This window comes from Homo sapiens, chromosome 4, assembly GCF_000001405.40.
Source record: "Homo sapiens chromosome 4, GRCh38.p14 Primary Assembly".
NCBI classification, from domain to species: Eukaryota; Metazoa; Chordata; class Mammalia; order Primates; family Hominidae; genus Homo; species Homo sapiens.
In genome coordinates, this window is record NC_000004.12 from 40,573,978 (window position 1) to 40,599,184 (window position 25,207).

The following is a 25,207-nucleotide window of genomic DNA, read 5'->3' on the forward strand; positions in this document are numbered from 1 at the left end:
TTAAAGGCTATGGTGGATCAGATGACCTTTTGCCACAAAGCTTTCATAGCAACCGAAGAGCAGTGTTTAGAATATTTTTCACTTAAATAATGAGGAAGAACAGGGCTGACTGCACGAGGTGGAAGAATCCAGATTGTGCAAATGGTCTTCCGTTCTGCAGCCTCTCTGCAGTTGTTGTGGGTTATTAGACTTCCGAGATCTAAATATTCTCCCAGAGTGTAGGAAACTCCTCCTAAAGTTTTACATAAAATATAATCTCATTATTTCAGAAATAGACTGGGTAAAACTAGTACCATGAGAAGAAACAAGCTTTTCAGTTAAGACCGAGTTTAATTCTGGTTTTTCTAAGAAATAAAGACTTTTATTTGTTTGATTCCAGAGAACCTCAGGGGACACCCGACTGAGACAAACTGAAAAGTTAGAAGAAAGAATTTCCAGATTCCAAAAATAATTCAACAGAATGACTCTTTTCAGAACGTTAGACAAACCTGTATTCTGTAGGTATGTTTTAGAATCTCATAGGTAATCACAAGATTATAGATGACAGGGAAGATGAAAAAGTCAAGGAAGCTATCAAAGTATTGGAAATGGGCTGGGTGTGGTGGCTCACGCCTGTAATCCCAGCACTTTGGGAAGCTGAGGTGGGCAGATCACCTGAGATCAGGAGTTCAAAACCAGCCTGGCCAACGTGGTGAAATCCCATCTCTACTAAAAATACAGAAATTAGCCAGGTGTGGTGGCATATGCCTGTAATCTCAGCTACTCGGGAGGCTGAGGCAGAAGAATCACTTGAACCCCGGAGGCAGAGGTTGCATTGAGCCAAGATCACACAACTGCACTCTAGCCTGGGCAACAGAGTGAGACTCTGTATCAAAGAAGAAAGAAAAAGCATCAGAATTGGCAAAACTGGAGGAAAAGAACAAAAAATGAAGAGAACATCAGATAGGTTACGAAGATAATCAGTTTGGGTCAATTCCCCTAAAACATGGGAGCTGCCATAGACCCCTCAAGGCAATAGTTTTCAATTGGGAACCATTTGGGTCCCCAAGAAGTTATCTGGCAACGCATGAAGACATTTTTGGTGGTGGGTGCTACTGGCTTCTAATAAGCACAGGCATACTGCTAAACATCCTATAATGCACAGGAAAACCCCTTAAAACAATCCAAAATATCAACTGTGCCAAGATTGAGAAACCCTACATTGAAGAATACTGGCCCTACAGAAACACTGAACAGACACTGTAATTCACAAAGGGAATGTTATTAATACAGCTACCTATAAAGAAATACCAAGGAAGCTGGGCGTGGTGGCTCACACCTATAATCCCAGCTTTTTGGCTGATTCAGGCGGATCACCTGAGGTCAGGAGTTCGAGACCAGCCTGATCAACATGGAGAAACCCGGTCTCTACTTAAAAATACAAAATTAGCCAGGAGTGGTGGCGGGCCCCTTTAATCCCAGCTACTCAGGAGGCTGAGGCAGGAAAGTCGCTTGAACCTGGGAGGCAGCGGTTGCGGTGAGTCGAGATCGTGCCACTGCACTCCAGCCTGGGCAACAAGAGCGAAACTCCATCTCAAAAAAAAAAAAAAAACTACCAAGGAATAGCTACCTATAAAGAAGTCTCCCCAAGTTAACTGAATACTTAAAATTTGAATACTTAATGGTTTTGTCCTTAATCCCCGTTGGACCACTTTGATAAGGGCTACTGTGTGTCTGAGTGACCAACCCATGCCAGTTTGCCCAGGACTGTCCTGGTTTTAGCACTGAAAGGACAAATGAAGCCATTCTGTCCGCCAAGAGTACAGTGATATTTGGTCATCTGGAATTTTCTCTCTTTTGAAGAGAAACCTCAGATTCCTTCATGGTTTCCTCTGTGCTTGTTCTCACACATTACCAAGCTCCTGAGGCCTGGCTCCAGCAGGGAGAGAAAGGGTCTGATCTCAGAGGTGCTCTCTGATCCAGAGGAAGCCCAGAAGAAATGGGGGCCTGCCAGTGCTGGTGGCCAGGAGGGCATTGTTAATAGCTCATCTGGTTCTGTCGCCACCCAAGGCAGGGTTCTCCTTTGGATCGGACACTGGGGAAGTGTTCCTTCCCTGCAGGCTCACATAGCTTGCTAAGAGGCATCTTTCCTCACCTCCTCCTGGGGCAGTGCCCCAGGCAATGGAATGCATTCCTTGAGAAAGGATCCCTTACATGCTTTCCCTTATCTTTCCCAGATTATGCCCTTTCTTCAGCCTATTTCTTTTTTTCTTTCTCTTTTCTGTTTTTTTTTTTTTTTTGGGGGGGGGCGGAGACAGGGTCTCCCCCTGTCACCCACAATCATATTTATGCCTGATCAATTTTTTAAAAAAATTTTTTTGTAGAGATGGGGTCTTGCTATGTCGCCCAGGCTGGTCTTGAACTCCTAGCCTGAGCAACATAGCAACAGCCACCATGCCTGGCCTCCAAGCCTATTTCTTACAAAGGTGAAACTTTCTAACTACTACCTAGCCCCTGTGATCAACTTACATAACATATATGAAAGCATTTTGGAAACTGTAAAATATCAGACAAACGTAACATACTAACATCACAATGAGAAATCATTTGTCATTTTTCTTTTTTAAAAGAGACAGGGTCTCACTCTATCGCCCAGGCTGGAGTGCAGTGGCATGATCATGGATGGCTCACTGCAGCCTCAAACTTCTGGCCTCAAGTGATCCTCTTGCCTGAGCCCCTCAGGGTGCTGGGATTACAGGTGCAAGCTCAGCTCATTTCTATTTTTGAAGTTAGCAACTGAGGGTTGTTTCACTTTCTAGATACTTTAAATTCCCGTGTGGCAGGCACTGTTGTAAACACTTTGCATGTGTTATCTCATATAATATTCACAGAAATCCTGATGATGATGATGATGATACCCATTTTATAGATGAAGAAACTGAGATAGGATGACATTAAATAACTTTCCCAGGGTCACAGAGCTGGTGGAGCTGAGTGATTAGATTCAGACAGGCTGGCTCCAAAGTCCATGCTGAATGCTACCTGTGACTCAAGCCAGGAGAAAAAAAGGAGTTGCTCAAATAAAGCGTCCCTGGCAGTAACGAATCATTAACTTTCAGCCCACTCCAAGGAATGGGTGGCCTGAGGGTCACGTGCTAAAGAGGAAACCCTGAGTGAGTCAATCATGAACACATGACTGTTCTTAGTTCCTTATAGGTTTGCTTCCTCAAATAGCCTTCCTGGAGTGCTGAGCCAAGAGATGGATTGGGACCAGTTTCAGTTCTGGGAAAGGGGCTGAACCCCATCTAGCCAATGCCTGCACCCACGCTTCAGCTCTGTGCATGCTGGTGGCCGAATCTAACACAGGCCACAGGGACTTCCTCAAACTGGGAAATGCCTGCTCATGTTGTCAAGAGTCCTCAGCAACAGCTTGTTTGCCGACTAAACAAGGCTGCCACCTCACACAGGCAGCCTCAGAAAGATCAGGGAGTTAATAGTTACATGAAGACAGCTCAGAGAACAGCTCAAGTGACAGTCCAGACAAATGCAGATCGTATAATGGGTACCTGGTTAGATTCTGTTTAAAAAAAAAAAAAAGGATGTTCCTCTCTGCTATTTATTCCCTGTTCCAATTTTTTTAAAAATCCTGTTTTCCCTTTCCTGATCCTCCCTTATGGTATCTCATACTTAAAAAAAAAAAAAGTCTGGGATAAGCTGATAGTCACAAAGAAACAGGAATGCAACAAACCAGAAACCCAAAGCCCCAAATCTCTGCCTTATCACAGACCGTTTAAAACTCTGGAGTTTTTTCCTACTTCAGCACATATCTCAAGATTAGATAAATGTGGTACCATTGTGTTACTCCCTGGTGAAGAAACCAACAAACTGTCCAATAAAAATTACAGGAAGCTAGGAGCGGTGGTGCGTGCGTGTAGTCCCAGCTACTCAGGGGGCTGAGATGGGAAGATGGCTTGAGCCTAGGAGGTCAAGGCCAGCCTAGACAACACAGCAAGACCTCTTCTCTTAAAAAAAGAAAAAAAGAATTATAGGAGGTCACTGTTTTGGACTAAACTTCTGCAACTAGGGCCCAATAGACCAGACTGAAAATCAAAATGGAGTCACCCAGGCTAAAGTTCCACATCACAAAACAGAAACTAAGTTGTTGTCTGACCTTCTCAGTAATCAGGACGAAGAAATAACACCAAATTTCTTAAATGGGCCAGTTTCAAATCTTTAATTGGCATAATGAAACTCCCTGCTTTAATCCTTAAAGTAATCTGATGTTATTTTTCTGTTGTTCTGTCTCCTGTTGTCCCATTCCTTACAAAAAAAGTATCTTTGAAACAATTAATATACTTTAAGTTCTTTCCTTCTACTTTATAAAGCCAAGCTCTTCTGCTCGGCTGACTGGAACCCTTTTCCTATAATATGGAAGGAAGTGTTGCCCGATTCTAGAAACTCAAATAAAAGCAATTGAGAACTTTAAACTAAATTTGTTGCAATTTTGTCTTTTGACACATAGGATTTTCCTCCTGACACTTATAGACAATTGTAGAATAAATGGCCTCCCTCTGCCTCCATTTTCTACTTCCATTCATTTTCAGTGTTCTTAGCTTTTTCTTTCTACATGCCCACCACTTAGATTTCATTGTTCTTCCATCTGAAAGCTTTGCTTATGGCCTTTTCTATCATTTTCTCTTCTACCTTAACTTCTAGAGTTATTATGTTACCTAGGACAAGAGATATGACTTCTCACTGCCTCAGTTCCTCATCTGTAAATGGTGCTGTGTAGCAGGGCCTGCTGTAAGGGCTAAGGGGTAACGCACACAAAGTGCTTGGCACAATGCTACACACAGTAGGTGCTCAAAATGTGATAGCAAGCTGGGCACGATGGCTCACGCCTGTAATTCCAGCACTTTGGGAGGCCAGGGAGGGCAGATCACTTGAGGTCAGGAGTTCAAGACCAGCCTGGGCAATATGGTGAAACCCCATCTCCACTAAAATAACAAAAAATTAGCCAGACATGGTGGCGTGCACTTGTACTCCCAGCTACTCAGGAGGCTGAGGCAGAAGAATCACTTGAACCTGGGAGGCGGAGGCTACAGTGAGCCAAGATCATGCCACTGCACTCCAGCCTGGGCAACAGAGCGAGACTCTATCTTAAATTAAAAAAAAAAAAAATGCAGCCAGGCACGGTGGCTCACGCTTGTAATCCCAGCACTTTGGGAGGCCAAGACTGGCGGATCACGAGGTCAGGAGACTGAGACCATCCTGGCTAACACACTGAAACCCCATCTCTACTAAAAATACAAAAAATTAGCTGGGCATGGTGGCACGCGCCTGTAGTCCCAGCTACTCAGGAGGCTGAGGCAGGAGAACCACTTGAACCCGGGAGGTGGAGGTTGTAGTGAGTCGAGATCATGCCACTATACTCCAGCCTGGGTGACAGAGCGAGACCCTGTCTCAGAAAAAAAAAAAAAAAAAATGCAATAGCAAAGAAACAAATTGGATGGGAATAACTAGTTCAGATTCTCTAGGTAAAACTCTATAACTTTAAGGGTAATTATTTAAAAGTTATTAAAATTATAAAAAATAAGATCTGACTTAAGTGGGAACTAGATTACCTATTTTAGGGAGATGATATGAAGAAAATTTACCCATCTTATGGAGGTGGTTCAAATCAGAGCACTTCTCCATACACGAGTCAATCTACATTCCCAAGAAGCTCTGAAGCATTTTTCTCTGTGGGTCTTTGCTGGAGTTATTACATTGAGAAAGTAAACTTTAGGGTAATTTTTTTTTTTTTTTTGAGACTAGGTCTCACTCTGTCACCCAGGCTGGACTGCAGTGGCACAATCACAGCTCACTGCAACCTCTGCCTCCCTGGCTCAAGGGATCCTCCTACCTCAGTCTCCCATGTAGAGGTGACCACAGGTGCACACTACCATGCCTGTCTATTTTTTTAAATTATTTTTTATTTTTGTAGAGACAGGGTCTCGCCTTGTTGCCCAGGCTGGTCTTGAACTCCTGGGCTCAAGGGATCTTCCTGCCTTGACCTCCCAAAGTGCTGGGATTACAGGAGTGAGCCACCGCTTCCGGCCTACTTTTAGAGGATTTATAAATTCGAATTGGTCTAAGTTCCAACATGCCAAATATCCTGGACCTCTCACCAGTAAAAAATTTTCCTTCAGTTGAACTTGGTTTAGTTAGCAAAGTCAAATGAGTCCACTTCATGGATATTTTCTAAATGTGTTTCCTCATACTTTTTTTTTTTTAACTCTTAGAATCCAAGTGACTCATCTGTGTGCTTGAATCCTTTCCACTGTCTCATCTCCCTCATCCAAGTTTCTAGTACCTTCTCTTTGTTGTGAAGGATAATCAAACTGAACAACAAAAAGTTTACTCTCCTCATTTGGAACCTAAAAACTCTCTTCTTCCTGGGTCTGAGGGCTCCAAGAATCCTTGAATCAGTTCTCAGATCATTGTGGACACCAGATCAGGAACCTCAGGCACGTGGGAAGGCCAGATAATTAGGAGGGATGCTGAAGAGAAAGCCCGATGACCACAGCACGGTGATGGTTTAAAGGCCTTGAAATTTGGTTACCATCATTCCCCAACCCACCAACCGCCCATGGGCTGCATTCACCAGCACGCACTGGCAGCCGCAGCCACCCGTTCTCTTTCCTTGCATTGCTGAGCAAGTTTCCCATATCATTCAGTTAGGCTCAGCTCTCACACATATTGAGGAATGATCCCTACCACTGCTCGCACATGAATGGGAAAGGATGTACAATACATAAAGGCAGAGACAGGAGAATTTCAGACAGTGGTAAAAGTTGTGAGGTAAATAAAGCAGAGGAATGGGACAGAGATTAACAGAGATTGGTGAGAGAGAGAAGGCCACTCTGATATTTGTGCTGAGAGTTGAACAAAGAGACAGGGAGCCTAGCAAGGATCTAGGGAAAGAGCAATCTAGGCACAAACAAGGGCAAACGCCCCATGGCGGGAACAGGTTTGTTCATTTTGTTTTCGCTTTAATTCCAGGAACAAGAATCTGTGGCTGGAATCTGGTAATGGAGGCAGAGGTGGGAGCACAGAGGTTGGGAGGTGGCCAGAGGTCATGAGCTGAAAAACTCATGAGCCATAGGAGGGAGCTTGGGTTTTAGTCTAAAGAAAAGGAGAAAGCCGGGCACGGTGGCTCAGGCCTATAATCCCAGTACTTTGGGAGGCCGAGATGGGAAGGTTGCTTGAGTCCAGGAGTTCGAGACCAGCCTGGACAATATAGTGAGACCTCATCTCTACAAAACATTTAAAAATTAGCTGAGCATGGTGACATGCGCCTGTAGTCCCAGCTACTCGAGAGGCTGAGGTGGGAAGATCCCTTGAGTCCGGGAAGCAGCGGTTGCAGTGAGCCGAGCTCACACCACTGCTTCCAGCCTGGGTGACAGAGCGAGAACTTGTCTCAAAAAAAAAGTAATAATAAATAAATAAATAAATAAATAAATAAATAAAAGGAGAGGTCATTGGAGAGTGTTAAGCTTGCAGGGGGACTCTGGGGAAGATGAAGAATGAGAAAGCATCTCATAGAGATGGTTTGTTTGGTTTCTTGGAGGAAGACTTCTTCCAGGTTGATACAATCTACTTGTGAGTGGATGAGAAGGTGGGGGTGGTGGGGGAAGAGGTGAGATTAAATTATCTCTTCTTCAGAAGACAGCTCAGAAACCACAGACAGAAAATGCCTTAAAAGATAACCAGAGAGCCTTCAGGGTGTGTGTGAAGAGAGGCTGCAGCCCAGGTGTATGGCATCAGTCCTGCAAGAGGGAAAAGAAGTGAAAGGGAGCTTCAGCAGCTCCCACAGTCACAGAGCTCGGGAGCCCAGCTGTCTCCTGAACGCCAGCCCCAGGAGCAACCAGACCTCCCTCCTCCACTCTGTGAGCAGCGCCTCAAGCTCACCATATCCAATGCTGACCTCATTATCTCCCCCGAACCCGCTTCCCCTCCTCTGCACCCATCTTAGCAAGTGGATCGCCATCCCCCAGGTCCCTACACCAGAATCCCGGTTGGCGCCTCTCACTCCTGCTCCTACACTCCCTTCACCCAGTCAGTCACTGAGGCTTACTGAGTCCACTCCCAGAACCCATCTCGAATCTTCATGTCTCATCTCCCTCTTACTATCCCTGCAGCCTATGTCTTAGTTCAAGTTCTTCACTCAGACCCTCACTATAGCTTACTAACAGGTGCCATTCCTAACTCTAGTCCTTGTTGCCAAACTAATCTTTCCAAAACTAAGATCTGGGCCAGGCATAGTGGCTCACGCCTGTAATCCCAGCACTTTGGGAGGCCAAGGCAGGAGGATCACCTGAGGTCAGGAGTTCAAGACCAGCCTGGTCAACATGGTAAAACCCCGACTCTACCAAAAATACAAAAATTAGCCAGGTGTGGTGGTGCGTGCCTGTAATCCCAGCTACTTGGGACGCTGAGGCAGGAGAATCGCTTCAACCCAGGAGGTGGAGGGTGCAGTGAGCCGAGATTATGCCACTGTACTCCAGCCTGGGCAACAGAGCAAGACTCCATCTCAAAACAAACAAACAAACAATAAAAACAAAAACTAGGATCTGATGACATCACTCACTACCAATAGTCAGCAAAGCATTCCAGGATCTGTTCCCTGCCTCACTCCAACTCCATCCTTCCGTACTATGACCCCATATGCCATACAAACTTGTCACGTTTCCTGAACACATTCTTCTGGCTCCGGGCTGTTTCATGTGTTGCACTGAGCCCTCTACCTGTTTCTTCTTCAACCTTATACCCTACTCTCAACGCCTAGTCAGTCATCAAAACCATTCAATTGTCACCTCCTCTACAAAGTCTAGTCACCACCCTGGTAGAATCCATGTCTCATTACCACCCTTGCCCATGCTGTACTCTCTTCCAACTCTATCAGAGCAACTGTAACATTGCATTGCCCTTATTTATAAACTCTTTCTGCTAGTGAATAAGCACCTCGAAGGCAGCTTAGCACATAGCAAGTGCTCAATACACACTCAAAAATCAAACTAGTAGAGTAAGTGGAATGTGCGAAGTACAGAAGAGACAGGGAAAAGGAGCTTCAAGGTTATGGGTTAATTGCAGAATGGGAATAAAGAACAAGAAAGAGCAAAGGGAGACAAAAGCAAGGTCAGGCCGGCCAAGCACAGTGGCTCACGCCTGTAATTCCAGCATTTACTGGGAGGCTGAGGTGGGCAGATCACTTGAGTCCGAGAGTTCAAAACCAGCCTCCGTCTCTACTAAAAATACAAAAAAAATTAGCTGGGCATGGTGGTGCACACCTGTAATCCCAGCTACTTGGGAGGCTGAGGCACAAGAATCACTTGAACCTGAGAGGTGGAGGTTGCAGTGAGCCGAGATCACGCCACTACTCCATCTCAGAAAAAAAAAAAAAAAAAAAAAAAAAAGGGAAACAGAAGCTGGACAAGGTGATGCACGCCTGTAGTCCCAGTTACTTGGGAGGCTGAGGAAACTCCTGGCCTCAGGAGTTCAACACTAGCCTGGGCAATGTAGTGAGACCCTGCCTCTAAAAAATATTAATTAACTAATTAATTCTTAAAAGCAGAATGGGCCAGGCGCGGTGGCTCATGGCTGTAATCCCAGCACTTTGGGAGGCCGAGACGGGTGGATCATGAGGTCAGGAGATCGAGACCATCCTGGCTAACACGGTGAAACCCCGTCTCTACTAAAAATACAAAAAATTAGCCGGGCGCGGTGGCGGGCGCCTGTAGTCCCAGCTACTCGAGAGGCTGAGGCAGGAGAATGGCGTGAACCCGGGAGGCAGAGCTTGCAGTGAGCCAAGATCACGCCACTGCACTCCAGCCTGGGCGAGAGAGCGAGACTCCGTCTCAAAAAAAAAAAAACAAAAAACAAAAAACAAAAAAACCAAAAAGCAGAATGATTAAATATATTTTGTGATTTATTATAACATGGAATTTGTTTAAAATGCAAATCTACCATCAAACTCTGCATTTATTTTTTTGAGACAGGGTCTTGCTCTGTCACCCTGGCTGGAGTGCAGTGACGCAATCTTGGCTCACTGCAGCCTCCAGGCTCAAGCGATCCTCCTACCTCAGCCTCAGAGCAGCTGAGACTACAGGCACGCACCAACATGCCCCGCTAATTTTTGTGTTTTTTATAGAGATGGAGTTTCACCATGTTGCCCAGGCTGGTTTTGATCTACTTGGCTCAAGCAGTTCTCCTGCTCCGGCCTCCCAATGTGCTAGGATTACCAGTATGAGCCACCGTGCTGGGCTGGTTGTTCACTTATTAAACTGAACACGTCACACATCATGACACTCCCCCAAGGTAAGCTGGTAAAAACCCTGTGAGCCATGACATGGAAACTTCCACTCCAATCCATCAGACCAGTGTTGTCCATTATAAATGCAATGGGAGACACGTATTTGATTAATTTTCTAGAAGCCACATTTTAAAAGCGTAAAAAACAGGTGACAATTTTAATAATATATTTCATTTAACCCAACATATCCAAAACATTGTCCTTTCAACATGTAATCAGTATAAAAAACTATTAAACTGAGATATTTCATATTCCTTTTTACATTTACAGCACATCTCATTTTGGATGCTAGATTTCAACAGAAATACTTGGTATGTATTGCATAAAATTTACAGTAAAAAAAGTAGATCTCACACACACACACCTACATGTTGCCTCAAATGTACTTACAAGCTTCCCAATAAAGTTGTGTTTAACAAAAAAAAATGTACATGGCTTCAGTTTTTAAATTCAAATTAATTAAAATAAAAGATTCAACTCAGTTGCGCCAGCCACATTTCAAGAGCCACAGGTGACTGGTGGCTCTTATATCAGATGGCACAGCTATAGATCATGTGTGTTTGTTTGTTTGTTTGTTTTCTAATGCTCAAAATGGAAAGATCAGAAAGCTGATGGAGTCTCAGCTAGTGATACAAAGAATCTGTTCCAACTAATGGAGGCGCAGTGACCATATCTACAGGTTCCACTAAAGTTGCACAACCTGTGGCTGAAAATTAAGGCAGAGAAAATGACTAGGGGACATTATTAATTCACTACTTTGCTTTTCTAACAGGTTTCATTCGGGGTCATTAAGTGAATACCTAGTCCATGTGACTGGACTACTTAAAGTTTTATCCTCACAAATCCTTGTTTGCAAAATCAAGAAAACTAAGAGGATTAAGTGTTTCCATGTTAGTTAAACTAGGAAAACAGAGTTGCTGCTATTTATTTTAAAACTTTGCTGTCCATAGGGGAAAAAAATGGGTATGGAATGGAATTTGTGAGCCAAATGAAAAAGAAAAGAGGAAAATGAGATCAAGTTCCTTTGAGCCTAATTCATATGGATCTTCCATTTCAGAGCCCCAGAACAAGCTTTCAATCATCAAGAACTATGACTTTTATTGTAGAGGTAAGAAAGCAACAAAATCGCCCCATAAATATTCCTAATTGTTTCAATAGGCTCTAATAAACTGACTTTTAAAGATCTTGTGTAAAGAAAAAGCACGTACATTATAACTGCCTATTGTTATAGGCCTATTGCCTCATACTAGCAGCCTTGATTAGCCAGAGTAACCACAATAGGTGGGGTGTGGTGGGGAGTTTTCAAGGCAAAGCCTGTCTTAGCACCCATACTTCACAACAAAACCAAAGCGAACCCAAGCAGTCCCACATGACAAAGGTGTTCCGGCACACGATCAAGCACGGTTTATTAACCATGCCCCTGCTATCAGTAATGTGACTGTGATGGGTCATCCATCAAGCACGGCACATAGGACACAGCATCTGTCGTTCACTGCTGATGCCCAGCAGCAAATATCATATCTGGCAAACAGCAAGCACTCTAGACCTATGTGTTGAATGAGTGGATGAATTAACACATTCTAGGGAACAGAGCAGAGTGGGCATTCTGTGGAAGTCTGGAAGCAGGTAAGCAGGACGGTACTCTTTATCTCTGGCTTCCTCCCCCAACACCAAGCTCCTTCTCTATAAAGTACATTTGATGGTTTCAAAGCTACTCAGCCCGAGTGTTACTAAATGCCCAGCACTATGCAAAACGCCATGGGGCAGAAATCCATAAGAGGGGATACACTTCTTGCAGAATTAACATGTTAGGGAGATAGCATAAATCCCCCCACCCTCACCACACCCCCACTTCACTCTCCTCTGCACTGTGCTGAATGTGAGCATAACTGCATTGGATTCTGATCGGTTCATCCTGCTGAGGTTTGAGGTAAAGAACTCTGTTGAGTCATGGAGGTTGTGTAAGTGTCTTTCCAAAAGATTGTGATAATTCTTACTGTCAAACACCTTGAAAAGAAGAGGTTCCTCAAACCAGAGAAAGAGAGTCTGGAAGGTAAGCCTTTGACCACCAGGAGACAGAAACAGAGTTAGGGGCTTTTCTCCTGGGTGTGGAGTCAGACTTTTTGAAAGCAGGCATGTTGGAGGGTGCTCCTGGGTAAGAAGGGGTTAATGGCAAGGGCTGTTGCAGGGAAATGGGAGGGAGAGAGTAGAGGCAGAGATGAAAACGCCTTACCCTGTTAACCAGAACAGCCATTGCATATTCCGTTCTGGGTTAATTCCACCCCAAGCATCCTAGATCCAGCTTGGCGCTCCGTCCACTTTTCAAGTGAGAATGGGACTCCTGAGAACAGGCAGGCAGGGGCAATGGTAATTGATGAGCGCTGGCCAACGAGAAGGTGGACCTTGGAAGCAAGAGTCACAGTGAAGAAGGCAAAGACCCCACCGGTGACCTCTCTCCATTGTGAACTTTCATGACGGGTGTCTTCTGGGGTTTCCTTATAGAAGACAGTGCACACAGTCACAGTGGGTCAATCCAAGACAGTGGCACGGTATGAAGGGGCAGGAGGGGATTCACAACAGCTGTGTGCAGGCAGCTGCCAAGCATTTCAGACAACGGCATGACCTTGGGCACATCACGTGATTTCCTCGGGCCTTAGTGTTCTCATTTATAAAATGAGGGGTTTAGTAATATCCACATTACTAAAGGGAACTTCCTGCTCCGGCATCAGCTACCACCCTAAACACTCAAATGTGTGATACAGGCAAAGGGCTGGAAGAGCCGTGAGGAGGGGTCCACCTGGGGTGCATGGAAAGGGCTTTGTGAAGAGGCAGGACTCTGAACTGGGGCTGAGGAGGAGGAGGAAGATTCAGGCATCTAGAGACAAGCGGGGGAAAACGGGAAGAACAGTTTGAACAGACTCAGAGGCTAGGATTTGGGAATATATGGGGTGCATCTGGGGAAATCCTCACTGCTGACTCAGGAGAGCATATTAAGGGGCCACAGGTAGTGCTCAGGGAGGAACTGTGGGGCAGGGATGGGGGTTAACACTAAGAAGAGACCAGAAGGCCCTGACCACCCTCACTTTCCCTCAGTCTCCAAACATCTATCCATTCAATAAACATTTATGAAGCGCTAGGAGCCAGGGGCAGGGAACACACAGAAAGAGAAAAAGAAGACACTGTAAATATGAAGACATAATAAGTGGAACTGCCCCTTCCTTCTGCTTCTAAGAACCCTTTTCCCCTTGGGGCATGTTTTGCAGTTTAACTTGATTTCACCAAATAACACATTGGAGGAATGGGGTGGGGAATTCTCAGAACCTTTACTTAAAAGGGAAAGACCTTCCAGCACTTTCCTTAACCCTCCTGAGCCTTGGTTTCTCTATCTAGATAATGGGCGTCATAACACCCCTCAAAGGTAAGAATTACCTGAGTTGGAGAGGTGATGCCACGGTAAATAGGATTGCTAATAAAATGAGACAAGTAAATAGTAATGCTGACATGCTGGTTACTGGTATTTTGACTGTTTTCATTTCAGAGGAGGAAAAAGGACAAAATTGCAGTTCCAAGGAATTATAGTGAGTTGCTCAAGGCAAGGGTGACTAAGCCAGCCCTGAAATGGGGCCTCAGGCTGCCCTCGGCTAGACAACACCATGGGTAATATTGCAGCCTACATTTCTTCTTTTTGTCAGCAACATGATAGAATCTCTTTTTTGCCTGGCCAGTTCATGGGGCCCTGCAATTCAGAGGACCAGTGGCACACAGCAAACACAAAGCCACGAGGTGTACTGGGGTGCAGCCAAAGACAGTTGCCACATAAAATAAAGGATACGCAGTAAATCTGAATATCAGATAAGCAACCAATAATTTTCATTTGCTAAATATAGTAACCTTAGACCAACAAGAAAGTCAGGGCTGCCTACAGGGTGAGTCCAGCAGGCTTTGGGGGGAACATTCCAGCTTCCCAGGGCTCTATCATTTAAAATGCAACGCTCCTCAACCAAGGTAATCACTCCTGGGCCAGTTTCCCTTTCAGGATTCAAAGTCCCAAAATTGAACACTCAAAGAAAATAATGACAAGGACCTAGAAGGTCCTTACACATGTCTAATTCAAACTGAACCTTTCCTCAAAGGAGGACCATCATAGGAAGAAGTGTTAGGGTCAGGGAGCAAGCTATGTTACTCTCTTGAAAACACGAAATTATGGACAGCATAAAAGATTTGATTTCTGAAATTCACACAGCAGGTCACTGACAGGGATGAGAGCCTAGAAGGTATGGTGGTAGCTAGACTTCGATCCAGCACACACATTTATTTTAGCTACATCCATCTCCATCTTCTCAGATGCCCGTTGGAGATAGCTGCCTGGTTAGTCTTGGGGTGTAGTAATGAGCCATTACAAGTATAAATTACTTTCTTAGAATGAAGACTCCAAAAAGAGATCCTGAATTTACTGGCCCAAGGGAGGAGACTGCATCATTAGTTAATAAGCAGGAGCAACAAGGAGAGACATTGGCATAGTTCAGCAACAGGGGCACTGGAATCGTGGCCGACGTGTTTGCTGTTATGTTCTCTTTCAGTCCCTTTTTGTGTGCCATCAAAAACTCTGGGATTTGATTAGAAATTGCTTAAGTTTTAGTTTTAGGGGAAAGAGGTTAGAGGAATAATAGCTAAAGCGTTTCTTTTTTTTTTTTTTTTTTTTTTTTTTGAGACAGTGCAGTGGCGTGATCTCGGCTCACTGCAACCTCCACCTCCCGGGTTCAAGTGATTCTCCCACCTCAGGCTCCCAAGTAGCTGGGATTACAGGCACACACCACCATGCTCAGCTAATTTTTTTAGTAGAGATGGGGTTTCACCATGTTGGCCAGGCTGGTCTCGAACTCCTGACCTCAAGTGATCCACCTGCCTTAGCCTCCCAAAGTCCTGGGATTATAGGCGTGAGCCACAGCACCCGGCCCAAAGGTTTCTTTTTGAAGTGATTAAGATGTTCTAAACTTACTGTGTAAAATGATTGTTGAAATGTTCCCAAACTGTGTGAGGGTTGCACATGCCTGTGAATATACTAGCATCCATTGAACTGTACAATGTAGTTTTTATTTATTTATTTATTTACTTATTTTTTATTTTTTTGAGATGGAGTCTCGCTCTGTCTCCCAGAGCCTGCTTTCCATGCTGGAGTGCAGTGGCACAATCTCAGCTCACTGCAACCTCCACCTCCTGGGTTCAAGCCATTCTCCTGCCTCAGCCTCCCAAGTAGCTGGGATTACGAGCACACACCACCATGCCTGGATAATTTTTTTGTATTTTTAGTAGAGACGGGGTTTCACCATGTTGGCTAGGCTGGTCTCGAACTCCTGGCCTCAAGTGATCCACCCGCCTCGGCCTCCCGAAGTGCTGGGATTGCAGGCGTAAGCCACCGCGCCCAGTCTGAACTGTACAATTTAAAAGGGTGAATTGTACAACATATGAATAATATCTTAATAAAGCTGTTTTTAATTCTGGCATTTAGGAACATGAGGAGCACATAAGACACTGATCAAGAACACTAATCATAAGTACCTGGAGGGGCAACAAAGGCAATGAGACAGGCGGCGGCTTTCATTTCTTCTTTTCTACTTTTGATAGAATCCTGAGCCCAACAATCTTTCACTTTCCCCTTAACGCCTATTAGAAAAAAAAAACAGCAGCTCAAATGTTTCCTGACCTTCAGGCTCATCAAGGTTTGGGGGCTATGATGAATTGAGAAGCCTTTCCCCAAACATTAGGGACAGAAGCCCACACTCCATTCTAGCTGAGAGTTGCCAGATCGGGGAATAGGCCAGGTACTGAGAAAGTTTTTTTGTAACAAGATGGAAATCTAGACGTGTGCACGCCTGTGTGCCTGTGTAACATCTTAAATTTTAAACATTGTCAACTGATTCACTTTTTAAAGATCGGAGCTGGGCATGGTGGCTCACACCTATAATCCCAGCGACTCCAGAGGATGACACAGGAGGATTGCTTGAGCCCAGAAATTTGAGGTGACGGCAGGCCATGATCATGCCACTGTACTCCAGCCTGGGCAACAGACTCTGTCTCTTTTTAAAAAAAAAACAAAAAAACCCCACAAAGACTGGGCAAGACAACAGTGCACAGAAGAGCAAGCAAACATCTTGGGGGCCTCCTATTACCTGTAAACTCTCTATTTGCAACCTCTCATCTTGGACCCCAGTCTCCAAGCCTTAGACACATTGCCTCACCTGGTGAATGACATTGTGAATAAGAGATCAGCTTTTAGCTTTGTTGTGGTTATCTTAAAAAGCAACAGCCCAAAGGGCGGAACAACCCAATATCCATCAACAGGTGAATGAATATACAAAATGTGATATTGTCCATTACAACAGAATATTATTCAGTCTTAAAGAAATGAAGTGCTGGACATGCCATAACATGGATGGACTGTGAGCATATCATGTTAAGTGAAAGAAGCCAGACACAAAAGTCCATATATTACATGATGCCTTTTCTTTTGAGATGGAGTCTCGCACTGTCACCCACGCTGGAGTGCAGTGGTGCGATCTTGGCTCGCTGCAATCTCCGCCTCCCAGGTTCAAGTGATTCTCCTCCCTCAGCCTCCTGAGCAGCTGGGACCACAGGCACCCACCACCATGCCTGGCTAATTTTTGTATTTTTAGTAGAGTCGGGGTTTCCCCGTGTTGGCCAGGCTGGTCTCGAACTCCTGACCTCAGGTGATCCACCTGCCTCGGCCTCCCAAAGTGCTAGGATTACAGGTATGAGCCACCACACCCTGCTGCATGGTTCCATTTATATGAAAAATCTAGAATAGGTAAATCCACAGAGACAGAAAGCACATCAGTGGTTGCCAGGGGCTGGGGGAAGGTGGGATGAGGAGTAACTTCTTAAATGGGGACAAGGGTCTCCTTGGGGGGTGATGAAAATGTGTTGGAAGTAGGTAGAGGTGATGGTTATACCATATTGTCAATCTACTAAATGCCACAGAATTGTATACTTTAAAATAGTTAACTTTACATTATGTAAATTTTGGTCTAAAAAAAGGCAACAACATCTGGGATAAGAAAATCAGATATGTGACCAAGCGTGGTGGCTCACACCTGTAATCCCAGCACTTTGAGAGGCCAAAGTGGGAGGGTTACTTGAGGTCAGGAGTTTAAGACCAGCCTTAAGACCAGCCTGGCCAACATGGTGAAACCCCATCTCAACTAAAAATACAAAATTAGCTGGGCGTGGTGGCATGACCTTGCAATCCCAGCTACTCGGGAGGCTGGGGCAGGAGAATTGCTTGAACCCAGGAGGCAGAGGTTGCAGTGAGCTGAGATCACACCATTGCACTCCAGCCTGGGCAACAGAGCAAGACTTCATCTCAAAAGGAAAAAGAAAAGAAGAAAAGAAGATATGTGGGGAGAATTTCACAGTTACCCTAATGAGTAATAGGTTCTACCTGAGACAAGGGCTCTCCAGAGCGTCAACACTGGAGTGGAGTTCTCTAGCCTTTTAGAGAGGGCACAGGACACGTACAAGTGAAGACATATGGCAGAAAGAGCACGTAATGCTCAGGAACTGGCAAGAATTTGGTGGGAGGTAAATTTATGTGAAAATGGAACCTCTCAAAGTTAATATATATTTTGGATGCCTAGGAGAGCTTCACCATGGTAATCTGAGAGAGCATCACTTCCCAAAACAATGCTTTACCCCTCAGGAAAAATGCTTGTTCATAAATAAAACAATGCTATGCTCATTTATAATAGGAGTCTCTCCATTTCCAGAAGTCCACCATTTCCCATTCAGATTTCAAATGCAGAATCTTTGACCTGTGACTCTGCAAAAACTAGCATCAAAGTAGAGTACAGGGGAATCATCCGTTTGCAATTATTAACTTATTTTCCTCTTATTTACACCACCTGGTATCACATTTACTTTTTCTTTTACTTTTTTTTTTTTTTTTGAGGCAGGTCTTACTGGGTCGCTCAGGCTAGAGTGCAGTGGTGCAATCACAGCTCACTGCAGCCTCAAATTCCTGGACTCAGCAGTCGTCCCACCTCAGCCTCCCTAATAGCTAGGACCACAGGCATCCACCTGGCTTAATCTTTTTTTTTTCTTTTTTTTTTTTTTTAAGACAGAGTTTCGCTCTTGTTGCCCAGGCTGGAGTGCAATGGCATGATCTCAGCTCACCGCAACCTCCGCCTCCTGGGTTCAAGCAATTCTTCTGCCCCAGCCTCCCATGTAGCTAGGATTACAGGCATGCGACACCATGCACGCCGAATTTTGTATTTTTAGTAGAGACGGGGTTTCTCTATGTTGGCCAGGCTGGTCTCGAACTCCCAACCTCAGGTGATCCGCCCACCTCAGCCTCCCAAAGTGCTGGGATTACAGGCATGAGCCACCGCGCCTGGCCAACTTTTGTATTTTTTGTAGAGACAGGGCCTCGCTATGTTATTCAGGCTGGTCTCAAACTCCTGAGCTCAGGCAATCTGCCTGCCTTGGCCTCCCAGTGAGCCACAGCACTCGACCCCTTATTTCTTCTTGTGAAACTGAAATGGCATCTGAACCTTAGTTAGGTTTACTAACGTCCTCATCCAATTTAGAATCAATGCAAACAATTTGGGACATATATATATATATATATATATATATATATATATATATATATATTTTTTTTTTTTTTTTTTTTTTTTTTTTTTTTTTGAGACGGAGTCTGGCTCTGTCGCCCAGGCTGGAGTCCGGTGGCGCGATTTTGGCTCACTGCAAGTCCGCCTCCCAGGTTCACGCCATTCTCCTGCCTCAGCCTCCCGAGTAGCTGGGACTACAGGCGCCCGCGACCACGCCAGGCTAATTTTTTTTTTGTATTTTTAGTAGAGACGGGGTTTCACCGTGTTAGCCAGAAGGGTCTCGATCTCCTGACCTCGTGATCCGCCCACCTTGGCCTCCCAAAGTGCTGGGATTACAGGCGTGAGCCGGGACATACATTTTTATAAAAACATTAAATAATTTTTTAATGTTTTTATAAAATGAAAGCACTGAATAATACCTTCAGTATTTAACAATGAAAGCACTGAATAATACCTTCAGTAGGGAGGCCCCTGGAAGATCGCTTTAGAAATACCTGAAACACTGATACACCTGTACATCCCTGCCAAGGGAATCGCTTAGAAAATCATTTTTCTCGGGAGGCCGAGGCAGGTGGATCACCTGAGGTCGGAAGTTAAAGACCAGCCTGACCAACATGGTGAAAGCCCATCTCTACTAAAAATACAAAAATTAGCTGGACACAGCTGGGCACGGTGGCTCACGCCTGTAATCCCAGCACTTTGGGAGGCTGAGGCGGGTGGATCACGAGGTCAGGAGATCGAGACCATCCTGGCTAACACGGTGAAACCCCGTCTCTACTAAAAATACAAAAACAAAATTAGCTGGGCGTGGTGGCGGGCACCTGTAGTCCCAGCTACTCGGGAGGCTGAGGCAGGAGAATGGCGCGAACCTGGGAGGCAGAGCTTGCAGTGAGCCGAGATCGCGCCACTACACTCCAGCCTGGGTGACCAAGCGAGACTCTGTCTCAAAAAAAAAAAAAAAAATTAGCCGGACGTGGTGGTGGGTGCCTGTAATCCCAGCTACTCAGGAGGCTGAGAGGCAGGAGAATCGATTGAACCCAGGAGGCAGAGGTTGCAGTGAGCTGAGATTGCGCCATTGCACTCCAGCCTGGGAAACAGAGCAAGACCCCATCTCAAAAAACAAACAAAAAAAAGAAAGAAAGAAAGAAAAGAAAATCATTTTTCTCTTCTCTACCCCCACCCCCGCTTCCACCCACTTCAAATATGAAAATCTCCACGCTGCCCTGTTTCCTCCACCAGCACTGTATAGGAATAAGAAAGACAACAGAAAGCATATTCTGCTATGGTCAGGAATATTTCTCTTAATTTGAGGGTACACACCTGAGGCCATTGCACACTGCTTCTCAGACTGGCTCTTTCTGAGATGTTTTGTAAAACAGCATGTTCCAGTGTCTTTCACATCTTTTGTACTGAGATAGCAAATCTGCAAGGAGTGACATTGGACCAAGATAGGAAAAGTCAAGGCCTTCTGGTACGACAGTCTTCCAGAATTGACGACACAGCTTGGTCTCGAAAGCTCTCATTATACGGCTACACGTCTTACTGGGGAGGAGCATATAAACTGTCAAAGCTACTCCTCTGCATGACATTCAAGGCCTCGCCTAACCGGACCTCAACCCTATATTCTCTTCTCTCCCTCTATTTCACTTCATTCGTGGTCAAACCGAGCCACTCTCTTGTCTCTGTTCCCTATATGCAACCTGATATATCAGTCTCAATGCCTTTGCTCATGCTATCCTCATAGCCCAGAATATTCTTGCTCTGAATTCCATGGACCCAAATCCTTGTTTCTCCCGGCCACCTCCTTCAAGAAGCCCTCCTGACTGTCTCCCTCCTTTCCACTCCAATTTCTTTCTGTATCTCTTTTGTAAGTACTATCACTCTCTACCTTGATTTTTTACCTAGTAGTACTTATCATTTTCTATGGTTTATTATTTTATTTCATGGGCTCCTTTAAGAGCACCTCGAGGTTGAAGACTGAGTATTACTGTATGATTAATCTTTGTATTCTATCTTTTTTGGCAGGCACCACAGATTGCCACGCAATAGACATTCCTCTCTTCTTTGCTAAGAGAGCTCCAAGGTCTCGTAGCTAACAGATGGACTGCTTGGCTTCAAAGCTCTTGAACCTTACCACTATGCTATCAAGCACCCCGTGTGCTTAACACTATGCATTCTTCAGCTTTTCTTGGAGGAGGAAATAATCAGTTGAGACAATTATCTCCATAATTCTGGCCTGGGAAGGGGGAATAGCCATCATTAAAGAAACAAGGAAGGGCTGGGCATGGTGGCTCATGCCTGTATTCCCAGCACTTTGGGAGGCTGAGGCAGCAGATCACTTGAGGTCATGAGTTCGAGACCAGCCTGACCAACAAGGTGAAACCCATCTCTACCAAAAATACAAAAATTAGCCAGGCTTGGTGGCAGGTGCCTGTAATTCCAGCTACTCGGGAGGCTGAGGCAAGACAACTGCTTGAACCCGGGAGGTGGAGGTTGCAGTGAGCCGAGATTGCACCACTGCATTCCAGCCTGGGCGACAGAGCAAGACTATCTCAAAAAAAGAGAAAAGGATAGAAAAGAAAAGAAACAGGGAAAAGTTATGATTTGTTTTTGCAAAAGAAATGGAAATCACCCTATCAATTCTTTATCATTTATGTTTAAAAGATCAGGCCGGGTGCTGTGGCTCATGCCTGTAATCCTAGCACTTTGGGAGGCTGAGAAAGGAGGATCACTTGAGGTCAGAAGTTCAAGACCAGCCTGGCCAACATGGCGAAACCCTAAACCTTTGTATATTTAGTCTCTTCTAAAAATACAAAAATTAGCCAGGCATGGTGGCGTGTGCCTATAATCCCAGCTACTTGGGAGGCTGAGGCAGGAGAATTGCTTGAACCCGGGAGGCAGAGCTTGCAGTGAGCTGAGATCTCATCACTGTTCTCCAGGCTGGGCAACAGAGTGAAACTTCGTCCCCCCTGCCAAAAAAAAAAAAAAGAGATGTTATTTGCTCAATTACTTTTTGCTGGTCTTCATGTATCTATCTGCAGCCAGTGTGGACGCAGCCTCTCTGCACGCAGTCAGTGTTTGATAAGCTAGCATTCTAAGCCACAGAAGACAAGGAAAGCTGCAAGGGAATGCAATGTGCCTAATCAGAGACATGGGCAAAGCATGCTGCTAAGATGAGAACTTTCAGGAGCAGGGACGTGACTATCCTTGGAGCTGTTCTTTCTGTCACAGGACAAATGGAATTTGCTGGTTTTGTCGACATGAGGTGGGAAAAGGAAGAGCAAGAGGAAAGAAGCTTAAAGCAGAGGAATAAGATAACATCATTCCGTGGATAGAGGTGGGAGGAGAAAGGTGGATCATTCCTGATCTCCTGAGGCAAGAGAAAAAGACAGGAGAATTCTTAGGTTTAAGGGGGGGAAGAGGTCTTTTATTCACTTCCTGGTGCAGGCACATGTACCTATATATTGCTCTTTCTGTAGCCAGATTATTTACTCAGTGTAGTGTGTGTGCCTATGCTACACAAGAGGTTAGCAACCATTTTGTAAAGGGTCAGACGGGAAAAATTTTAGGCTTTTTGAGCCATACAGTTTGAGTGGCTACTACTCAAATCCGCCATGTTGAGCAAAACAGTCATAAATAGGTCTTTACACTGTGTTCCAATAACATTGTATTTATGGACAATGAAATTTGACTTTCATCTAATGTCCCAAGTGGCCCAAAAGATTAATCTTCTTTTAATCTTCCTCCCTAACCATCAAGAATGCAAAGCCCCACGCCTTGTGTATGAGTACACACCATATGTAGCACAGGAAAAAGGACGTCCTTGGGAAGGATAATCACTGCATTCAGGGGAGTGGCCACCCCTGAGAAGAGAGAGAGAGAATCAAGTTGAGGGGCACGAGGGGCTTCAGTTATCTCTCCAGTGGTTTATTCCTCATGTTGGTCCCAGATACAGAGGTGTTTGTTGTACCTTTCAGTAGGTCAGAAATAAAACAAATTTTTAAATATTAAGTATTTAAGTATTTAAAGTTTTAATTTATCGGCCGGGCGCGATGGCTCACGCCTGTAATCCCAGCACTTTAGGAGGCCGAGGCAGGCAGATCATGAGGTCAGGAGATTGACACCATCCTGGCTAACATGGTGAAACCCTATCTCTACTAAAAACACAAAAAATTAGCTGGCCGTGGTGGCACGCGCCTGTAGTCCCGGCTACTTGGGAGACTGAGGCAGGAGAATCACTTGAACCCAGGAGGCGGAGGTTGCAGTGAGCCGAGATCGTGCCACTGCACTCCAGCCTGGGTGACAGAGCGAGATTCCATCTCAAAAAAAAAAATAGTTTTAGTTTATCAAAATACTTCAATAAATAAATATTTATAGGCTGAGGGCAGTGGCTCACACCTGTAATCCCAACACTTTGGGAGGCTGAGGGGAGCGGATCACTTGAGATCAGGAGTGTGAGACCAGCCTGGCCAACATGGCAAAACCCCGTCTCTACTAAAAATACAAAAATTAGCCAGGCCTGTAATCCCAGCTACTCTGGAGGCTGAGGCAGGAGAATGGCTTGAACCCAGGAGGCGGAGGTTGCAGTGAGGCGAGATCACGCCACTGCACTCCAGCCTGGGTGACAGAGAAAGACTCCATCTCAAATAAATAAATGAATAAATATTTATATATTCATATAGGTATTAAATATGTATTCATTTAAATGAATACTTTTTGAAATAATTTGATAAACTGGAAATTTTAAATAAAACAAAACAATGCACATAAATGTGCCCAAGTTCATTACCATTTTTTTGCAGAAATGATTATGTTAGTAAAAGGCATTAAATAAATAAGCAAACAAACAATAGCACCTGCCCATGAAAAGGCTCTTATTTCAGTTTTTGAATCACCATGAAAAATTTTCCTGAGCATCTAGCCAGAAGGAGCAGACACTGGCAAAAATGTATTCACCTCTCTAATCTTAAGTCTCTTGATTTCATTTCTGCATTAAAGCATTTTCTGTTTTCTAAAACAAGATCTTTTGGTCAATTTAGCATACCAACTGCTAGCCTAACTCCACAAAACGGAATCTTTTTAAGGCAGGGAGCTATATTAAGTCTCCAACATTCACTTTCTGAAAATTCTTTAGTGTATTATTGCATAGCAGAGTAGTGTGACAAGGATCAAAAGATTAGAAACAATTTCAATTAACTCCTTCTACTAATATACAGAGGACTGACCACTGAATTTTGCCGCAATGTCTAATGGGAAATAAAGTGCGCACACAGGAGATTTACCATTGACCCCAATCACAGAACTTTATTTATTTATTTATTTATTTTGAGATGGGGTCTCAGTCTGTCACCCAGGCTGAAGTGCAGTTGTGTGATCTCAGCTCACTGCAACCTCCACCTACCAGGCTCAAGCCATCCTCCCACCACAGCCTCCTGAGTAGCTGGGACCACAGGTGCACACCACCATGCCCAGCTAGTCTTTGTATTGTTTTGTAGAGAGAGGGTTTTGCCATGTTGCCCAGGCTGGTCTCAAACTTTCCTGAGCTTAAGCAATCTGCCCACCTCAGGCTCCCAAAGTGCTGGGATTACAGGCATGAGCCACTGCGCCCGGCCCCAATCATAGAACTTTAAAATGATGCTTTGTCTCAAAAAAAAAGAAGAGACAAATAAATAAATAGGTGAATTTTTAAAAATAAAATGCTGCTTTAAAGAATAAAAACATCGCAAATGCTTTGCAGGAATGAAAGTCTGAAAATGATGTAATATAGTAAGAGTACAAATTAAGCTATTTTTAAAAAATCCTTTGATTTAGGGTTTCTACATTCTATATTCTATAGTGTCCATCTGTCCTCTGCTCATATGTGTTTAAGCCATAAATGAATTATCAGAAAGTCTTTTATTCTTGTAAAACCAAAAAAAAAAAAAAAAAAGAGTTGGGGAGGAGGAATCTGTCGTAATTTATTCATCATCCTTGACTTCAATAAATAATTAGTACTGGTAAACATTATTCTATAATTATTAGAAAGAGAAGTCCCTGGCCAGGCATAGTGGCTCATACCTGTAATCCCAGCACTTGAGGAGGCCAAGGTGGGCAGATCACTTGAGGTCAGGAGTTCAAGACCAGCCCGGCCAACATGATGAAGCCCCAACTCTACTAAAAGCAAATACAAAATTAGCTAGGTGTGGTGGCACACCCCTGTAATCCCAGCTACATAGGAGGTTGAGGCAAGAGAATGGCTTGAACCCAG

At 44.5% G+C, this 25,207-nt stretch overlaps 1 protein-coding gene across 32 annotated transcripts in view, besides 5 other annotated features; it reads right to left on the bottom strand.

The window, feature by feature from the left end:
- Nucleotides 1-25,207, bottom strand: part of RBM47 (RNA binding motif protein 47) — a 207,573-nt gene that overhangs the window by 150,698 nt on the left and 31,668 nt on the right. For 3 of the 32 annotated variants that reach the window (XM_047415811.1, XM_047415801.1, XM_047415802.1), the window contains exons 2-3: nt 22,756-22,823; nt 20,281-21,929 (exon numbers count right to left, since the gene is read on the bottom strand). The exons of 23 other annotated variants lie outside the window; for them this stretch is intronic. The gene's annotated coding sequence lies outside the window, so the exon portion shown is untranslated. Of the gene's footprint in view, nt 1-12,566; nt 12,887-20,280; nt 21,930-22,755; nt 22,824-25,207 lie in introns of those variants that run through there. 6 more of the 32 variants (XM_047415820.1, XM_047415810.1, XM_047415800.1 and 3 more) reach the window with 2 other exon arrangements.
- Nucleotides 3,162-3,331: an enhancer, noted in NCBI's record as "active region_21491". NCBI's record gives its function as "activates an Ori minimal core promoter by ATAC-STARR-seq in GM12878 lymphoblastoid cells {active_cell/tissue: GM12878}" and the evidence as "EXISTENCE:reporter gene assay evidence [ECO:0000049][PMID:35858748]".
- Nucleotides 3,352-3,551: an enhancer, noted in NCBI's record as "active region_21492". NCBI's record gives its function as "activates an Ori minimal core promoter by ATAC-STARR-seq in GM12878 lymphoblastoid cells {active_cell/tissue: GM12878}" and the evidence as "EXISTENCE:reporter gene assay evidence [ECO:0000049][PMID:35858748]".
- Nucleotides 8,002-8,180: a silencer, noted in NCBI's record as "fragment chr4:40583996-40584174 (GRCh37/hg19 assembly coordinates)". NCBI's record gives its function as "represses an EF-1alpha promoter that drives an FKBP-Casp9 reporter gene in an ReSE screen in K562 erythroleukemia cells {active_cell/tissue: K562}" and the evidence as "EXISTENCE:reporter gene assay evidence [ECO:0000049][PMID:32094911]".
- Nucleotides 17,994-18,494: an enhancer, noted in NCBI's record as "H3K4me1 hESC enhancer chr4:40593988-40594488 (GRCh37/hg19 assembly coordinates)". NCBI's record gives its function as "activates a minimal SCP1, AML or CMV promoter by ChIP-STARR-seq in naive H9 embryonic stem cells {active_cell/tissue: H9 hESC(naive)}" and the evidence as "EXISTENCE:reporter gene assay evidence [ECO:0000049][PMID:30033119]".
- Nucleotides 21,463-21,964: an enhancer, noted in NCBI's record as "H3K4me1 hESC enhancer chr4:40597457-40597958 (GRCh37/hg19 assembly coordinates)". NCBI's record gives its function as "activates a minimal SCP1, AML or CMV promoter by ChIP-STARR-seq in naive H9 embryonic stem cells {active_cell/tissue: H9 hESC(naive)}" and the evidence as "EXISTENCE:reporter gene assay evidence [ECO:0000049][PMID:30033119]".